General features: G+C 37.7%; 3 annotated features.

Moving 5' to 3' along the window:
• Positions 7898-8398: an enhancer, noted in NCBI's record as "H3K27ac hESC enhancer chr6:120784606-120785106 (GRCh37/hg19 assembly coordinates)". NCBI's record gives its function as "activates a minimal SCP1, AML or CMV promoter by ChIP-STARR-seq in primed H9 embryonic stem cells {active_cell/tissue: H9 hESC(primed)}" and the evidence as "EXISTENCE:reporter gene assay evidence [ECO:0000049][PMID:30033119]".
• Positions 8399-8899: an enhancer, noted in NCBI's record as "H3K27ac hESC enhancer chr6:120785107-120785607 (GRCh37/hg19 assembly coordinates)". NCBI's record gives its function as "activates a minimal SCP1, AML or CMV promoter by ChIP-STARR-seq in primed H9 embryonic stem cells {active_cell/tissue: H9 hESC(primed)}" and the evidence as "EXISTENCE:reporter gene assay evidence [ECO:0000049][PMID:30033119]".
• Positions 12157-12704: an enhancer, noted in NCBI's record as "OCT4-NANOG-H3K27ac hESC enhancer chr6:120788865-120789412 (GRCh37/hg19 assembly coordinates)". NCBI's record gives its function as "activates a minimal SCP1, AML or CMV promoter by ChIP-STARR-seq in naive H9 embryonic stem cells {active_cell/tissue: H9 hESC(naive)}" and the evidence as "EXISTENCE:reporter gene assay evidence [ECO:0000049][PMID:30033119]".

The raw sequence follows: 19502 nt of genomic DNA on the forward strand, positions 1-19502 counted from the left end.
TAAGTGCTTAATAAATGTCCATCATCCAATGTGAAGCAAAATTAAAGTTAGGCTAAATAACTGAAATTACTTTTAATTTTATGTTTCTTGTTTATTGCATTAAGTTGTGAAAGGTTGAAACATTGAACATAAAGTCAAATTATACTAAGCTATTATTGCTAAAGATGTTTAGAGAAGTTTTATAATATTGTTTCAAAAAACTCAGTAAATTTTAATTTATAATTTATTATATTATTTATAATAGAAAAACCCTAATTAGTTTTCAATAAAATTGATATAATGATGTGAAAATATTTAATTTCAATGCATTAAAAAGCACATAAACAATGGAATCTTAAGATATTGGCCCCAACATTCACATAACCATCTGAAAAATGAAAATTAATTATTTATTTTATGGTGAAAAAATAAACTAGTCCTTATCATTTACTTTAGGGGCAGAAATTTATTATGCAGTATGTGTCAATTAACCATGAGGCTATGTTCTGAGAGATGTAAAATTAAGTGATTTTGTTATTGTGGGAATGCTATAGAGTATACTTACACAAACCTAGATAGATAGATAGAATATATTTTAAATTTATATATATTCCTTCAGCTGAAATCTCAAATGACTCAGCATTATTAATTAATATAAATCAAATCCTCTACTTGATCTGCAGTGCCAATATCAAGTGCCATATATCAGCTTTCTATATATGCTCCATTGTAATCTTATGGGACCACCAACATATAAGGTTGGTCCTTGACTTAAGAAATGTCCTTATATGGCACATGACTGTAGTTCAATTTTTAGTGGTTTAAAAAGCAAAGCAATCTTATATTGGAAAAGCCAACTATCATTTGCTTTTGTTTTTTTTTTTTTTGAGACAGGGTCTCACTCTGTCACTGGGGCTGGAGTGCAGTGGCATGCTCATAGATCACTGCAGCCTCAACCTCTGGGGCCCAAGTGATCCTTCTGCCTCAGCCTCCCAAGTAGTTGGAACTACAGAGGTGCACCACAGCTAATTTTTGTTTTTTTTGTAGACACGGTTTCACCATGTTGCCCAGGCTGGTCTCGAACTCCTGGGCTCAAGCACTCCTCCAAAATCAGCTTCCCAAAGCACTAGGATTACAGGAATGAGCCACCACATCCAGCCTCATTTTTTAAAAAAAATATTTACTTTATACTTATCCAATTAATTAAATGAAATCCCATATCACTAAGAAAGTCATTTTGCAAATGTGATCCTTTGACCCATTAGAGTAGTCTTGATCCTTTCAGGTAGTTGTGAGGTGAAATTCTTTTCAAAATAGGACTAGACATTATTTTATATTTGCCTTTTCACTGTGTTGACATTTACACTGATTGCAAAAGAACTGATGGTAAGTAAAATTACATGTGCCTTAGCAGAAATTAAATCAGTGTCACTAAACTATAATATATATATATATATACACACTTATGCACATATATATATACATGTATTATATATATATATATATATGCATACACATACCACAGTTTGTTTACCCATCATCTGTTGAAGGACATCTGAGTTATTTCAAGTTTTGTGTATTACAAATAAAGTTTTTATGAACATTTGCATTAAAGTGTTTTTGTGAACAGATTTCATTACTCTGGGACAAATGTCCAAAGGTGTGCCTACTGAGTAGTATAATTATTGCATATTTAATTTTAAGATAAATTGTCATAATTTTCCCAGAGTGGCTGTACCAGTTTATATCCCCACCCAAAATATATGAAAGATCCAGTTTCTCCACATCCTTGCCAGAATTTTGTTGTTATTATTACTTTTTATTTTAGCCTTTTTGATAGATATGTAGTAATATCTCATGATTTTTATTTGCATTTTCCTCATGGCTAATGATGTTGAACATTTTTTAAACGTTCATTTACCATCTGTAAATCCTTTATGGTGAAATGTCTGTTAATGTCTTTTGCTCATTTTCTAATTGGATTGTCTTTTATTGTTCAGTTTTAGGAATTTTTTTTATGTATACCACAAAAGTACCCTCTGTTGGATACTTAGTTTGCAAATACTTTCTCCCCATTCATACCTTGTCTTTATTCCTCTTCACATGAAAGTTTGCACAGCCAAATATTTTAATTTTGATAATATCTAACATACAGTTTTTTTTAATTTCATGGGTTGAGGTGTTAGTGTCAAATCTAATAATTCTTTACCTAAACCTGAATCCCAGAAGTTTTCCATTCCTAGCTTTTCTTCAGTATTTATAGTATTAACAATTACATGTAAGTCTGCAATCCATTTTGAGCTAAGTTAAATAAATGTTGTGAGATTTAGATCAAAGTTTTTTTTTCCTTCTTTTCTTTGGATGTCAGATTGTTCCAAAATCATTTGTCAAGAATACTTTTTTTGTCTATTGAATATTGTTTGCAACCTTGTCAAAAATCAATTTGATGTGTTTGTGCTAGTCTATGTCTGGCTTTTGTGTTCTGTACCATGTGTCTACGTGTCTCCATAGACAATGCCACATTGTCTTGATTTCTTTTTCTTGCCTTATTGCAGTGGCTAGACTTTCCATAGTGTGTTGAATGAGAGTAGTGATATCAGACATTCTTACCTTGTTCTGGATATTATGTGGAAAATATTCAATTTTCCATGATTAAGTATGATGCTAGCTGCAGGTTTGATGTAATTTTACTGTATTCCTATTTCCTCAATTTCCTCTATTCTTAACATGATAGGTTAACAGTTACTGAATTTTGTTAATGCTTTCTTCTACCTCAGTTGTCACATGATTTCTTTTTTACTTTAGCATGTTGATATGGTGCATACAATATATTTATTTTGTAGACATTGAAACTGCTATGCATATCTGCAATAAATTCTACTTAGTCATGATGCATAAATTTTTTATACATTATTGGATTTGCATTGCTAATTTTACTGATAATTTCTGAATATAGACTTATGAGTACTTTCAATCTGTAGTTTGGTTTTTTGTACCACCTTTGCATCAGAATTACATTGGCTTCATCACATGAGTTATGAAATTTTCCTTACTTTTCTATTCTGGGAAAATATTGCATAAAATCACTATTAATTCTTTTTTATGTGTTTGTCACAATTCTCCAGTGAAATTATGTGGGCCTAGAGATTTCTCTTTCTTGAGTCACAATTACAAATTCAATTTTTTTTTCTCTTTTCTTTTGGAGATAGAGCCTTGCTCTGTCTCCCAAGTTGGAGTGCAGTGGCACAGTCTTCACTCACTGCAGCCTCTAACTTCTGGGCTCAAGTTATCCTGCCATCTCAGACTCCTGAGTACCTGGGACTACAGGTGCATGACATCATACCCGGATTAAATTCAATTCATTTAACACTTACAGGACTATCCATATTGTCTATTTCATTTTGGTTGCATTTTGATTCTTTGTGGCTTTTCAGATATTTGCCCATTAATTCTAAGTTAAAATTAATGAGTGCAATTATATAGTGTTCTCTGAGCCTTTGATGCCTACAAGATTTCTCCCCCCCAAGATGGAGTTTTGCTCTGTCACCCAGGCTACAGTACAGTGGCATGATCTCGGCTCACTGCAACCTCTGCCTCCTGGGTTCAAGCGATTCTCCTTCCTCAGCCTCCCAAGTAGCTGGAATTACAGGGATGTGCCACCACACTGGCTAATTTTTGTATTTTTAGTAGAGAAGGGGTTTCACTATGTTGTCCACGATGGTCTCGATCTCCTGACCTCATGATCCACCCGCCTCGGCCTCCCAAAGTGCTGGGATTATAGGTGTGAGCCACCGTGCCAGGCCTCCTTCTTCTATTTTGGTCAGTTTTGCAGGAGGTTAATCATTTTACTGATATTTGTAAAGACTAGCTTTTTGTTTCATTGATATATCTTGGTACTTTTTTCTGTTTTCAATTTTATTGATTTCTGCTCATTATAATTTTATTCCTTTGCCTGTTTTGAGTAAATTTTTCTTCTTTTTCTGTTCTTTTGAGGTAGGAGCATATATTTTGACTTGCCATGTTTCTTAATTTTATTGTGGAATTTATAGCATTCATTACTTTTCCCTTTTAATGCTGCTTTAGCTGCATCCCATAAATTTTGATATGTTGTATTTTTATTCACTTGTATTTATTTTTTATTCATGCCTTTTTGATTGATCTATGGATTGTTTGGATGTGTCTTGTTTGATTGTTAAATGTTTAGAGATTTGTTGTCTTTCTGGTATTGATGTCTAATTTGATTCTTTTATGGTCAAAGAACACACATTATGATCTCAATTATTTTATGTTTGTTGAAGTTTTTATGGACCATGAAATAGTCTATCTTGGCAAATATTCCCTCAGTTCTTAAAATATATGTATATACTGCTATTGTTTGATAGATTGTTCCATATATGTCCATTAGATATTCTTGATTGATTACGTTATTCTGATCTATATTGTTGCTCATTTTTTTGTGTAGTGTCTCTATCAGGTGCTGAGAGGAAGCTTTTTATGTCCACAGCTACAGTTGTGTATTTGCTTATTTTTTCTTTTACCTCTGCTAGTTTTTGCTTCATACGTTTGGAGATTTTATTGTTTAGTTTGCAGGGACTTAGGATTTTTATGTATTTCTTTATTGTCATGATGAAATAACTCTCTTAGGCTCTAGTAATTCTTTTTGTTTTAATGTGTATTTTATCATATTCTACTTACCTTTCCTTTTTAATTAATAAATTAATTAACCTAAACTAATTTAATGAATTAATTCAATTAATGCTTACATGTAATGTGGTCTTCCATTCTTTTACTTTCAAACTACATATGTTAAATCTGAAGTGAGTTTCATATACACAGCATATACTTGCATCATAATTTTTAGAGACTATGACAATCTATTTTTCTATTGGTATATTTTCAGCGTTTACATCAGGCAATTATTGATGTGTCAACTCCTAACTCTACCATCTTACTTGTTTTTTGTTACTTGTTATTTTATTTTATTTTATTTTATTTTATTTTATTTTATTTTATTTTATTTTATTTTTGAGATGGAGTTTCACTCTTGTTGCCCAGGCTAGAGTTCAATGGTGTGATATCAGCTCACTGCAACCTCCGCCTCCCAGGTTCAAGCGATTCTCCTGCCTCAGCCTCCCTAGTAGCTGGAATTACAGGCATGTGACACCACACCTGGCTAATTTTGTATTTTTAGTAGAGATGGGGTTTCTCCATGTTTGTCAGGCTGGTCTCGAATTCCCAAACTCAGGTGATCCACCCGCCTTGGCCTCCCAAAATGCTGGGATTACAGGCTTGAGCCACCGTGCCCGGCTACTTTGTTTGTTTACTGCTTATTTCTTCTGGTACTCTCTTCTCTTTTTCTTTTTTCCTGACATCATGTTTGTTACTTAAACATTTTTTAGATCTCATTTTGACTTATTTATAGTGTTTTCAAGTGTATTTTTCCATAATTTTCATAGTGTTTGCTGTAGATATTATTATATATGTATGTGACATCATAGTCTATTGTTTTCAACATTTTATCACTTCTAGTATAGTATGAAAATTTTACTTCAGTTTGGGAGTTTAGGTCATTTTACCTTCCCCACTTTTAAATATCATCTTAAGTATTATAAAATATGTGATTTTTAGTAACTAGCTACTTTTTCTTAGCATAATGTTTTCAAAGGGCATTCATGTTCAGAGTGATAACCTATTGCTTATCAGTTATAGGTTGAGCATCTCTACTTCAAAAATCAAAGATCTGAAGTGCTCTAAAATCAGAAATTTTTTGAGCACCAACAGGAGATAGTGACACATTTACTTTTTGATAGTTCAATGTATACAAACTTTGTTTCAAAATTTGAATGGACAAAATTACTTAACATATTGTATACAGTTACCTTCAAATGTTGTGTATAAGGTGTTTATGAAATTTTGTGTTTAGATTTGTGACACATTCCCAAGATATGTCATTCTTTATATGCAAATATTCCAAAAATTTTAAAAAAAGGAATTCAAAACACTTCTGGTCCCAAGCATTTTGGATAAAAAAATCATCAACCAGTACTTTATTCTTTATATTTTCAAATAATACTCCATGGAATGTGTATCAGATGGGATTATTCAGTGAACAGAGAAACAGAATCAATAGGCTATCTCTATATAAATATGGATATGGAGTATATAGAGATATATGGGATTCTACCTCTGTTTTTATTATTAAGACCTTCAAGTGATTGGATGAGGCCTACCAAAATTATGGACACTCATCTGCTTTATTTAAAATCAACTGATCAAAAATGTTAATTACATGTACAAAATAACTTTCACAGACACATCTAGACCAGTGTTTGACTAAATAACTGGGCCCCAGTACCTACCCAAACTGCCATGTAAATTAACCCACATTTGGTCATCCATTCCTCAGTTAATGGACATTTGTGTTGTTTCTACTTTTTGGCTATTATGAATAAAGCTATTATGAACATTTGTAGCCACTTTCTAATGTTGACATATATTTTTCTTTATCTTGGAAAGAAATTCTTAGGAGAGGAATGGTTGTGTTATGTGGTAATTCTCTGTTTAACATTTTGTGCATCTGCCAAATTGTTTTCTAAAGTGATGGTATCACTTTACATTACCACCTGCAATATGTGAGGATTCCAATTTCTCCACATCCTCACCAACAGTCCTTATTATGAATCTTTTTTAATCACTGTCATCCCAGTGGCTGTAAAATGGTTTCTCACTATTGTGTTGATTTGCATTTTCCTAATGACTAATAATATTGAGCATTCTTAGATGTGAATGTTGGCTATTCATGTTTCTTTGGAGAAATGTCTATTTAAACTTTTGCTCAGTTTTAATTGGTTGCTCTCATTATTGATTTGTGAGATTGCCTTATATATTTTAGAAAAAAGTTCTTTTTCTAATATATGATGTTTAAATATTTTCTTACCTACTCTGGATTTTTATTACTATTATTTTCAGGTGTGGTACCAGGAATAATGTGGGAGGCTGGATTGAAGTCTGGGCCAGGAACAACGGTAATTGTGGGAGACTCAACAAAGAGTGAGTATAGCTGAAGGAGCCGGGAAGCAGAAAGTATATGCGTCAGTTACTTCAGGCCATCTGGGCCTATACGTGCAAGTCACAGGGGATGCGATGGCTTGGCTTGGGCTCAGAGGCCTGACATTCCTGCCTTCTTATATTAATAAGAAAAATAAAACAAAATAGTGTTGAAGTGTTGGGGCGGCGAAAATTTTTGGGGGGTGGTATGGAGAGAGAATGGGCGATGTTTCTCAGGGCTGCTTCAAGCGGGATTGGGGCGGCGTGGAAACCTAGAGTGGGAGAGATTAAGCTGAAGGGAGGTCTTGTGGTAAGGGGTGATTCTGTGGGGATGTTAGAAGAAACATTTGTCGTATAGAATGATTGGTGATGGCCTGGATATGGTTTTGGATGAATTGAGAAACTAAATGTAATAATGGAAGGAGAAAAACAGGTATAAAAGGTCTAAGAATTGGGACGACTCAGGATATCTGATTAGAGAGTGCTTAAGGAGATTCGGCATAGTCCTGCCAGGAAAGATTATTTATTTACTTCAAGAGTTAAGAGTGGCAGTTTGGGGATAGCACCAGGAGATATCAGCTGTGATGGCTTGGAAAAACAATGTAAACCGGCAGTGTAAACAAGAGCAGGGCATGTATGAGTAGTTGAGAACGGTGAATAGGAGTATGACTAGACAGAAGATAGTAGGGATGACAAGTTTTTTGGGGGCACAGTCTAACTTGGTCTGGTGTCTGGAATGAGACTGGGGCCCAATAAAAAGGAGCGTCTATATAGGAGCTTAAATGGGCTGTACCTTGTAGCATTCTGAGGACAGGTCTGACTTCTGAGAAGGGAAAGTGGTAAAAGTATTGTCCAGTCCTTTTTAGGTTGGTGGCTGAGCTTGGTGAGGTGTGTTTTTAAAAGACCTTTAGTCTATTCTACTTTTCTTGAAGACGGAGGACCGTAAGGGATATAAAGGTTTCACTGAATACTAAGAGCCTGAAAAACTGCTGGCTGATTTGACTAATAAAGGCTCGTCTGTTATCAGACTGTATTGAGGTGGGAAGGCTAAACTGAGGAATTATGTCTGACAGAAGGGAAGAAATGACTGTGGTGGCCTTCTCAGACCCTGTAGGAAAGGCCTCTACCTATCCAGTGAAAGTATCTACCTAGACTAAGAGGTATTTTAGTTATCTGACTCAGGGCATGTTGAGTAAAGCTAATTTGCCAGTCCTGGGTGGGGCAAATCCTCGAGCTTGATGTGTAGGGAAGGGAGGGGGCCTGAATAATCCCTGAGGAGTAGTAGAATAGCAGATGGAACACTGAGAAGTTATTTCCTTGAGGATAGATTTCCACGATGGAAAGGAAATGAGAGGTTCTAAGAGGCGGGCTAGTGGCTTGTACTATAGCATAACCTGCCTTTGCTGGTGTGTGGCGATTAGGTCTGGTGGAACTGCCATCAATAAATCAAGCGTGATCAGGGTGAGGAACAGGAAAGAAGGAAATTTGGGGAAATGGGGTGAATGTCAGGTGGATCCGAGAGATACAGTCATGGGGATCAGGTGTGGTACCAGGAATAATGTGGGAGGCCAGATTGAAGTCTGGGCCAGGAACAACGGTAATTGTGGGAGACTCAACAAAGAGTGAGTATAGCTGAAGGAGCCGGGAAGCAGAAAGTATATGCATCAGGTATGAGGAAGAAAATAGATTTTGAAAGTTATGAGAAATGTAGGGAGTGAGTTGAGCATAGTTTGTGATTTTGAGGGCCTCTAAAAGTATTAATGCAGCGGCAGCCGCTGCACGCAGACATGAGGGCTAGGCTAAAACAGTAAGGTCAAGTTGTTTGGACAGAAAGGCTACAGGGTGTGGTCCTGGCTCTTGTGTAAGAATTCTGACCATACTAACCATGCCTAGGAAGGAAAGGAGTTGTTGTTTTGTAGAAGGTGCTGGGGTTTGAGAGATCAGTCGGACACGATTGGCAGGGAGAGCACGTGTGTTTTTATGAGAATTATGCCGAGATAGGTAACAGATGAGGAAGAAATTTGGGCTTTATTGAAGTAATGGGGGCTGTCTGTGAAGCTTTGCAGCAGTACAGCCTAGGTAATTTGCTGAGCTTGATGGGTTACAGGGTCAGTCCAAGTGAAAGTGAAGAGAGGCTGGTATTAAGGGTGCAAAGGAATAGTAAAGAAAGCATGTTTGAGATCTAGAACAGAATAATGGGTTATAGAGGCAGGTATTGAGGATAGGAGAGTATATGGGTTTGGCACCACGGGGTGGATAGGCAAAACAATTTGGTTGATAAGGCACAGATCCTGAACTAACTTGTAAGGCTTGTCTGGTTTTAGGACAGGTAAAATGGGGGAATTGTAAGGAGAGTTTATAGGCTTTAAAAGGCCACGCTGTAGCAGGCGAGTGATAACAGGCTTTAATCTTTTTAAAGCATGCTGCGGGATGGGATATTGGCGTTGAGTGGGGTAAGGGTGATTAGGTTTTAATGAGATGGCAAGGGGTGCATGATCGGTCGCCAAGCAGGGAGTAGAGGTATCTTATACTTGTGGGTTAAGGTGGGGGAATACAAGAGGGGGACACAAAGGAGGCTTTGGATTGGGAAGAAGGGAGGCAATGAGATATCGCTGTAGTCCAGGAATAGTCAGGGAAGCAGATAATTTAGTTAAAGTGTCTCAGCCTAATAAGGGAACTGGGCAGGTGGGGATAACTAAAAAGGAGTGCTTAAAAGAGTATTGTCTAAGTTGGGGAGTTTTAAGAGGTTTAGAAGCCTGGCCATCAATACCCACAACAGTTATGGAGGCAAGGGAAACAGGCCCTTGAAAAGAAGGTAATGTGGAGTGGGTAGCCTCCGTATTGATTAAGAACGGGATGGACTTACCTTCCACTGTGAGAGTTACCCAAAACTCAGCGTCACGTCCGTGATGGTCTACGGGGCTTCTGAGGTGATCGGGCAGCGTCAGTCTTCAGCCACTAAGCCGAGAAGGAGTCAGTCAGAGAGCCTTGGGCCAGAGTTCCAGGGGCTCTGGGAGTGGCTGCCAGGTGAGTTGAACAGTCCGATTTTCAGTGGGGTCCCACACAGATGGGACGTGGCTTAGGAGGAATCCCGGGCTGCAGGCATTCCTTGGCCCAGTGGCCAGATTTCCAGCATGTGTAGCAAGCTCCTGGGGGAGGAGGTTCTGGAGGAACGCCTGGCTGCTGTGGTTCAGGCGTTTGGAAGTTCTTGTGTGCTGGAGATGTGGCTGGGGTTTGTCTCACAGTGGAGGCAAGGAATTGCAACTTGTTTCTATTATTGTACACCTTGAAGGCGAGGTTAATTAAATCCTGTTGTGGGGTTTGAGGGCCGGAATTTAATTTTTGGAGTTTTATTTAATGTCGGGAGCAGATTGGGTAATAAAATGTATATTGAGAATAAGACGGCCTTTTGACCTTTTAGGGTCTAGGGCTGTAAAACGTCTCAGGGTTGCTACGGAACGAGCCATGAACTGGGCTGGGTTTTTATATTTGATGAAAAAGAGCCTAAACGCTATCTGATTTGGGATAAAGAAAAAGGAGCATTAACCTTGACTATGCCTTTAGCTCCAGCCACCTTTTTAAGAGTAAATTCCTGGGCAGGTGGGTGAGGGCTAGTCACAGAATGAAACTGTAAGCCAGACCAGGTGTGAGGAGAGGAGGTGATAAAAAGATAACAGGGTGGAGGAGCGGAGGCTGAGGAAGAATTGGGACCTAGCTTGGCCTGGCGAGGAGGGGAGAGGTCAGATGGGTCTGTAGAAAAGGAATATTAGAAAGACTCAGTGACGCTTGGGCTTGGGACTGAGGGGACAGGCGGGAGGGAAAGAAGGAAGATTTGGGACGAGTTGCACTGGGCACAGAGACAAGGAAGGGACCGATGTGTAAAAGAATGCCTGGACATCAGGCACCTCAGACCGGTTGCCTATTTTACGACAAGAATTATTTAGATTTTGCAGGATGGAAAAATTCAAAGTTCCATTTTCTGGCTATGTGGAACTACTGTTGAGTTTGTACTGTGGTCGAGCAGCATTGCAGAAGAAAATAAGGCATTTAGGTTTTAGGTCAGGTGTGAGTTGAAGAGGTTTTAAGTTTTTTGAGAACACAGGCCAAGGGAGTAGAAGGAGGAATGGAGGGTGGAAAGTTGCCCATAGTGAAGGAAGCAAGCCTAGAGAAAAGAGAGAGTAGAGAAACGGAGGGAAGGGGTTCAGGGGTTCTTACCTTCCAGAAAAGTGGGAAAAGGGGTTGGGGCACAGAGATAAGAGGTTGGGGTGCGGAAATAAGGGATTGGGGCACAGAGATAAGAGGTTGGGGTGTGGAAATAAGGGATGGGGCGCAGAGATAAGAGGTTGGGGCATGGACAAAAGGGATTGGGGCACAGAGATAAGAGGTTGGGGTGCGGAAATAAGGGATTGGGGCACAGAGATAAGAGGTTGGGGTGCAGAAATAAGGGATTGGGGCACAGAGATAAGAGGTTGGGGCATGGACATAAGGGATTGGGGGTTCTTGCCCCGTAGAAAAGTGGGACTTGCTGCTAAGGGTGAAGGAGAAGGGGTTGAGGGGTACTTTCCCCTCTCCCAGAAAAGCAGAGAAGGGGTAGAGACAAGGAGAGAAGGGGTTGAGGTACTTGCCCCTTCCCCAGAAAAGCGGGACTTGCTACTAAGGGTGAAGGACCAAGGCAAGCATCCCTGCGCAGTCTGACACCCTTGAAACGTGGGTGTATAATCAGAGAGGTGTCCCTGCAATGATTAAACACCAAGGGAAGGCTGCCTTCCCAGTCCGTGACCGGCGCTGGAGTTTTGGGTCCACGGATAAAACATGTCTCCTTTGTCTCTCCCAGAAAATGAAAGGAATTGAAACTAAGAGAAGGGAGAGATTGAAGAGTGGAAAGGAGAAAGTGGTTGAGGGACAGTGAGAGAGGTTGGAGAAGAGAGTAAGAAGAGGCCACTTACCTGATTTAAAATTGGTGAGATGTTCCTTGGGCTGGTCGGTCTGAGGACCTGAGGTTGTAGGTGGATCTTTCTTACGGAGCAAAGAACAGGAGTACAGGGGATTGATCTCCCAAGGGAGGTCCCCCGATCTGAGTCACGGCACCAAATTTCATGCGCGTCTGTGTGAAGAGACCACCAAACAGGCTTTGTGTGAGCAACATGGCTGTTTATTTCACCTGGGTGCAGGCGGGCTGAGTCCGAAAAGAGAGTCCGCGAAGGGAGATAAGGGTGGGGCCATTTTATAGGATTTGGGTAGGTAAATGAAAATTACAGTCAAAGGGGGTTTGTCCTCTGGCGGGCAGGAGTGGGGGTCGCAAGGTGCTCAGTGGGGGTGCTTTTCGAGCCAGGATGAGCCAGGAAAAGGACTTTCACAAGGTAATGTCATCACTTAAGGCAAGGACCGGCCATTTACACTTCTTTTGTGGTGGAATGTCATCAGCTAAGGTGGGGCAGGGCATATTCACTTCTTTTATGATTCTTCAGTTACTTCAGGCCATCTGGGCGTATACATGCAAGTCACAGGGGATGCGATGGCTTGGCTTGGGCTCAGAGGCCTGACACTATATAATGATTTATCCTAAGATAAACCTAAGAATTATTTTGTTACTGTAAAGCAGAACTGCCTTTGATCTGATTCAAAGGTAGTGATGACTGATGGTCAAAATTTGGTTTATTCTTATTAGATGATTTAATGTCATAGACTCAAAGAACACTGTTGTAGCATTTCTGTGGACTTACATTATATTTCAAATTAGAATGTGCATTTTCAAATGGTGCTATTTTAAATTATGGAAGATAGATAGTTTATAATCGAATGCGGAAGCAGATTGATGCAATTGAAACAGTGCTGGACTGGAAGTTCAGGGTGATTTACCCAGTTGAAATCATTTAAAGCCTTGAACTTTACTTTTCTCATCTGTAAAATAAGGAGATTTGACAAGATAACCCCTGGGATTCTTTAAATCTCCTCACTCATGGTTGTGAATATAGCTTTTATATTTAAAGTTTCTTATTTAAATTGATTCTTCCTCCCGGTCTAATGACATAGTCATGTAAAGCATATCTGTTCTTTTGTTATTCTAAATGCTGTCAGAATGTCTGTCAAGAATCAAAGAGAGAGACAAAAGCTGACATTTACTAATAAATTGCTCTATTGATGAAGAGTTTTCCATTCAAGCAATACTTGAACTCTATGTTACTTCATTGGTGTATTTATAGCTGGGCTTACTTAAAATTCTTGATCAAGCAAAGTATAGCCTTGGGATAGACAGTCTCAGCAAGATGATCAACAATGTTTTGCACCTCATATCTATACATATACACAGAATTTCACTGAAAAACTTTGTTATCCTTCTGTGTTATGCTCCTTATAAAAAGTAGCTAAAAAAATAAACTAAATGCACCTGTGGCCACGTAGAGAAACAAATAGAAACCACAAAAAGGAAAATCAAGTTAAATGACTAGTCTATTAATCAAGCTATTTATCACTTCATTTGCCAAATAAGTCATAATAATACCTGGAAATGAAGATTAAATTAGACAACAAAACTAAACATGTCCTTGTTTTGTGTTTAATTTCTTCCATCTGCAAGGCTCCAAATGGCCATTAAACAACCTCCATTATGTACTGACTCCAATTATCACTGGAAAAATAAACTAGAACAAATTGCTTATACGATTATTATTTATGCAAATATGTAACAAAAGATCTTTTTGCAAGCAACCTATTGCTAATCCTGATTTATGCAACTGCAAAATTATTTGCGTATATCAATACTTTACAAGTCCTGAAAATATCATTGTCTTTCTTGGAACTATCCCTGCTGGAAAATTTCTTGTGTTGCCTTATCATTCTTCAAGAACCAGCTCCAAAGCAATCTTTTTATCCACACATGGTGGCTCACACCTGTAATCCCAGCCCTTTGAGAGTCTGAGGCTGGAGGATTTCCTGACCCTAGAAGTTTGAGTCTAGCCTTGGAAACATGGTGAAATCCCATTTCTACAAAATATAGCCAGGCAGTGTGGTGCGCGCTAGTAGTCTCAGCTACTTGGGAGGCTGAAGTGGGAAAATCTCTTGAACCAGGGAGGTCAAGGCTGCAGTGAGCCATGATCACACCACTGTACTCCAGCCCAGGAGGGAACAGAGTGAGACCCTATCTCAAAAAAAAAAGTCAAATTTTTATAAGACTTTTAAAATCTCTCCCTTCCACCATTACTGGCATAGATTTATTTTGCTCCCAGAGTTTTCTGGTGGTCTGTACACCAGGTGTGTGTATGTATGTATATATATTTTTCTGGTGCTATATATGCCTATTTTATTCTTATTTTACCTCAATTATTTTTCAAAGGTAAATACTGTAAATAGATGATCAGCTCTATTAGGGCAGAGATGTGATATTTTGCTTTCTCATTGTATCTTTGATGCCTGACACACAAAGTGGTAGCAACTCAGTAAATGTGACAAATATGAATAGATACAAACTTTCTTATAATCAGACAACTCTACTCAATAAAGGCTGGTTGATAATTATGAGACTGAGATTTCTAGGGACTTACAAACATGTTTAGACTGGTGAAAAATTTCTGCGAAAGCATAAATAAAAGCACTGGGCCAGCCCATGTCCTATTAAGGGGACCAATTAATCAATAGAACTATAGCAGCTATGGTTAATTTTCTTAACTCTGGTTTGATATCTGAAATTTTGGCTCTGGGTTTTTCATTTTTCTAGATTATCTGCTTTTCATTCTGTGTGTTTATCACTGGTTTTAAGCAGTATGCAGACAGAGATCTGCCAAATTGGGGTAACTTTACTTACTGCCAACTAAAGCTGCTACATTGGAACTAAGATTGCTTTAAAATTCACTAATATCATTCACATTTTACATAAGAGGAATCAGAAAGCATACATAACTTGCCAGTGTTACACACCTTCCACTGGAAGAGCAAATTCAAGTAATGTGAACTCCATGTCCTTCCTTTCACTGTTCCATTTTTTATAAACTGTAATGTATTAAACCAATGCTCTATTAGTGTGCACTAGGTTATTCATTTTCTTTACTATCACAAAAAATACAGTGATTAATGTATATCTTTGCATATATTTTTACTTAAGGGATAAGGAATATTGTGCATACTTATAATATAAATAAGACTACATTGTAACATTTATTAGACTCCATCAATACCAAGTATTATTTTTTTAAATTTTGACAGGTTGCTGGGTGAAAAATTATATGATTATTTCATATAATAATATTTATTGAATTATTTGTGAACTTGGAAATTTAATTATATATATGCCTGTTTAAATAACTCTATTGTGGATAAACTACTCATGTTCTTGTAAATTATTCAATTTTAATATTTACAATTTATTGAAGTATAATTTATATGCCTTATGCTGTATACATTTAAAATATACAATACAATTGGTTTTGATAGAAATATATAACTGTGAAACCACCAAAACAATCAGGAAATACCTATCACTCCTCCAAAGAATCTTCATGCTGGTAGTGGCAGGAGACAGACAAATTCCTAGTCATATAGTGGTGGGTCCCCAGTGAAACCCAAACTTCAAGCCATAGACAGTGTGAAGCTATAAAACCAAGCTGACAGATTTGGGTGGAGTTCACAACCAGAGTGAGAACTTCCTCGATGCCTTTTAGCCAATTGAATGGTGCTTTTTCCAGTCCTGCCCATGAACCAATCAGCATGCACTCCCCCATTCTGAGCACATGAAAACCCTGGACTCAGTCTCACAGAGGATTACCCATTTGGGGACTCCCTCTCACACAGAAAGCTGCTCACTTCGGCTCCTCTGTCATGTTGAGAGCTTTTCTGTCACTCAATAAAATGATTCTCTGCTTTGCACACTCTCAGGTGTCTGCAAACCTCATTCCTCTTGGGCGGGGGACAAGAACCTAGAACCCCTAACCCCCAACTGGCTGTGAAAAGAGCTGTAAAATGCCCTCCTGCTTGCAGAGCTATGGGAGTGAAAAAAACCACTGGGTTTCACATGCCCCCATTCACTGAGCTGCAGGTGGCAGGAATGAATGAGCTTTAATACACCCCTGTCCAGCAAACTGTGGGAGGCTGCGAAAGCTGTAATATGCCCCTGTTTGCCTAGCTGTGGGGGTGAAGAAGCAAAACAGTTAGACACCATTCTCTTCTGGCTGTCTCCCCAAACTACAAAAGCCACAACATTTCTTGTTGGCTCAGACTTTGGGACTTTGACACCCCTTGGGGGACCGCAGTTGCTGGCATCGTCAAGTGTTAGGGCGCCATTGCATTTTTCTCATCTAGACTCTGGCACCCAATGTGAAAACTGCCCGCAGCATGACCAGTCCACCCACGGGCTGAGTGCGGAGTCTCTGTTAAGGCACTGGATCCAGGCCAGGGTGCGAGCCTGGTGGGCCTCAGTGAGGCCCCGGGCAGAGGTCACAGCAGCCACAGAGATTTCCAGCTGGCGAAACACCACCGAAGGAATTCTGTAACAATGCCCCTTTGCAATTCAGCGCTCCATCAGGTAAATACTGATTCCGCTTATGTATGTATTTGTTTGCTATTTTGATTATACACAAATAAGGTATACAACATGTTTTCATATATATATATGCATAGTAAAATAATTACTGCAGTCAGTAACATTAATGTACCCGTCATCATGATTCTGCTTTGTGATATTATTGACTAGTTAACGTGTTTTAGAATTTTAAATGAAGGGAATTATATGAAATGTATGGATTTTAGATCTGAAAATTAACGTTCTATATCAAATGTGGGAAGTTGATGGCCATTATTTAATCAAGTATTCATTCTGCAGATATCTCAGTTCTTCTTCTGAGTTCCTAATTACATAAATGTTGTACTATTTGATGTTGTCCAACAAAACTGAAATCCTGATTATTTCTCTTTAAGTTTTCTTTCTTTTGGGGGAGATTTGTCAACTTATTCATCTACTTTCAAATGCTTTGATTCTTTATTCTGCCATCTCCATTTAGTGGACTAAGGGATTTGAAAAGTGACAAATTACCTCTGTGTAGCACTATTTTTCAAGAGTAGCTTTTTGTCCTCTCTGCCTCCTTCTTTCTTTTTGCCAGGCTCCTTGGAAATCTCACCTCATGCATGTGTATGTTAGCTGTCAGCCAGGGTTTTGGGCAGAGTTTATGCTTGGAATTTGGATCTTATTCCCTTGGCAATTGTCTTACTGACATTTCCCCATTAAATTTCAAGTGGTTTTGAGAGTCCTGAATGCTAATCTATGTCACCTTTAAAGCTGCAGTGTTTCTGCCATCATTTGTCTTCAACTAGAGCCACAGTAGTTTGGCAGCATTATTGGGCCAGAATGCCACAAATATGAAACTATATACAATTTTAATAGAACTAATTTTACTAAAAATGCAATTATTAAATTTTCTTGTATCTAAAAATTTCTAGCCTCCTGTTCCCATAAAATTATAATATTTAAATTAAAAAGTAAAATGTAAAAAGAATCAGTTATAATTTAGATTATTCATTCAATATGTTAACTTTACATATTTTTGATATATTTCTTCTGAACTATTTTTATGTAACCACATAATTTTAAAAAGTTTGGTTTGTTTTTGTTTTTTTGAGACAGGTTCTCACTATCTTGTCCACCCTGGCCTTGAATTTCTGGGCTCAAGCAATCCTCTTGCCTCAGCCTCTGGAGTAGCTGAGAATACAGGGGCACACCACCACAAATGGCTTCAACTATATAAAATTCTAAACATACAATTGAAGCTCATAGTCATACAAATATGTCCTTTCTTTCAGAGTAAGCACCGTACTTCAATCCCACCAATGTTTCCATCCATATTTTATACTTTTATTATGGAAGTTATATAAATGAAAACTTGTTTTTGTCACTCAATATTGTCCTTTTTGGATTTATTCATGTTGAATTAAGGGATTTAATTGATTCACCTAAACACTGACTAGTTTTCTAAGATATGACTAGAGTATAAATTATATATTTGACATTCTATTTGTGTGCATTTGGGCTGGCTTGAAATTTTTGCAAATGCATGCTATGTTTCATTGAACTGTCTTACATGTCTCCTTGTGTATGAGCTAGAAATATTCTTTGGCATGGTGTTTAAGCATCTGGAACCAGAGTAGAAGATTTTATAAACTCTGGATACTTATCCTTTATCAATTACAAACATTTTAGATATACCCTCCCTGTGGCTAATCTTTTTAGCCCTTTTAATCTGTTGACACAAATAGTGTAAAACATGTTTTTGTGGTGTTGCTGTTGTTATTGTTTGCTTATTATACATGTACTTCAAAAGAATGCGTTTTTTATAATTGGCTTCATCCAATGAGACCAGCAGATGCTATGACGAAAGCTGAGAGCAGATAGATGTCAGAGAATTTATTTGTCACTACACTGTCAGCAGCATTCTGTTTCCTCTGGTGATGAGGTTATATTACTGGCTACAGCCACAGCTCTTATAAGACAATGCTTCACTCATAGCTACAGCTCTTGCCAGACACTTTTAAACTTGAAGATTGAATTGGATTCTTGCATTTGCTTAATTTCTAGACACTGCAGTATTCCACAGGGATAGTAGTAATGGAACTGCAAATGGCATATTTACTGATCTCTTTTTAATTAAATTATTGAATATAACAATATTTATTCTTCTGGAAACCTGACAAATGCATTTTTTTTCTTAAGGTATTATATCTACATATATATTCATGAAAGAGAATAGCCTATAATTTCCCTTTCTTTTCTTGTACTAGTATCACAAAATAAATGGCAACGTATTATCAGCTTTGTTTAGATATGACTGCATAAGAGGGTAGTTATTTTTTTCCAAATATGTACGGTTTTCTAATAAAGTCAACGTGATTGGTAGTAGGACTATAGACTACCAAACCAAATCTATACTTAGTTATAGGAATGTTCAAGTTTTTTATTTCATCTTGAATCAATTTTGTAAGCTACAATTTTCTAAGAATTTCTTGATTTCATTGAAATTTTCAAATGTATTAGCATATTACAAAAAATAGCCAGGCATGGTAATGCATGCCTATAGTCCCAACTACACAGGAAGCCACGGAAGGAGGATTGCTTGAACCAGGGGGGTAGAGGCTGCAGTGAGCCATGATTGTGCCACTGCACTCCAACCTGGGTAACAAAGGGAAACTCTGCCTCAAATATATATATAGCATATAGTTGATCTTATTATACTCTTACTTGCAGTGTAATATTTTAGAATATTTAATGTCATTCTCTTTTTCATGCCTGACATTGTCTAATTTCTCTGTTGGTTGTTTCCCTTCCTCTCTCTCTTTGAAATTTCACATCATCTGTATTTATTTAGCTGTATTTTTCTAACTTTGAGACAAGCTCATTAATGTTCAATCTTCATTATTTTCTAATATATACAATGAAAATTCTAAATTTCTTAAGAAATAAAGTTTTACAGCCTGCATAGGTGTTTCTATATAGTATT

The sequence above is a fragment of the Homo sapiens genome, chromosome 6 (genome assembly GCF_000001405.40).
Source record: "Homo sapiens chromosome 6, GRCh38.p14 Primary Assembly".
Classification (NCBI taxonomy): domain Eukaryota; kingdom Metazoa; phylum Chordata; class Mammalia; order Primates; family Hominidae; genus Homo; species Homo sapiens.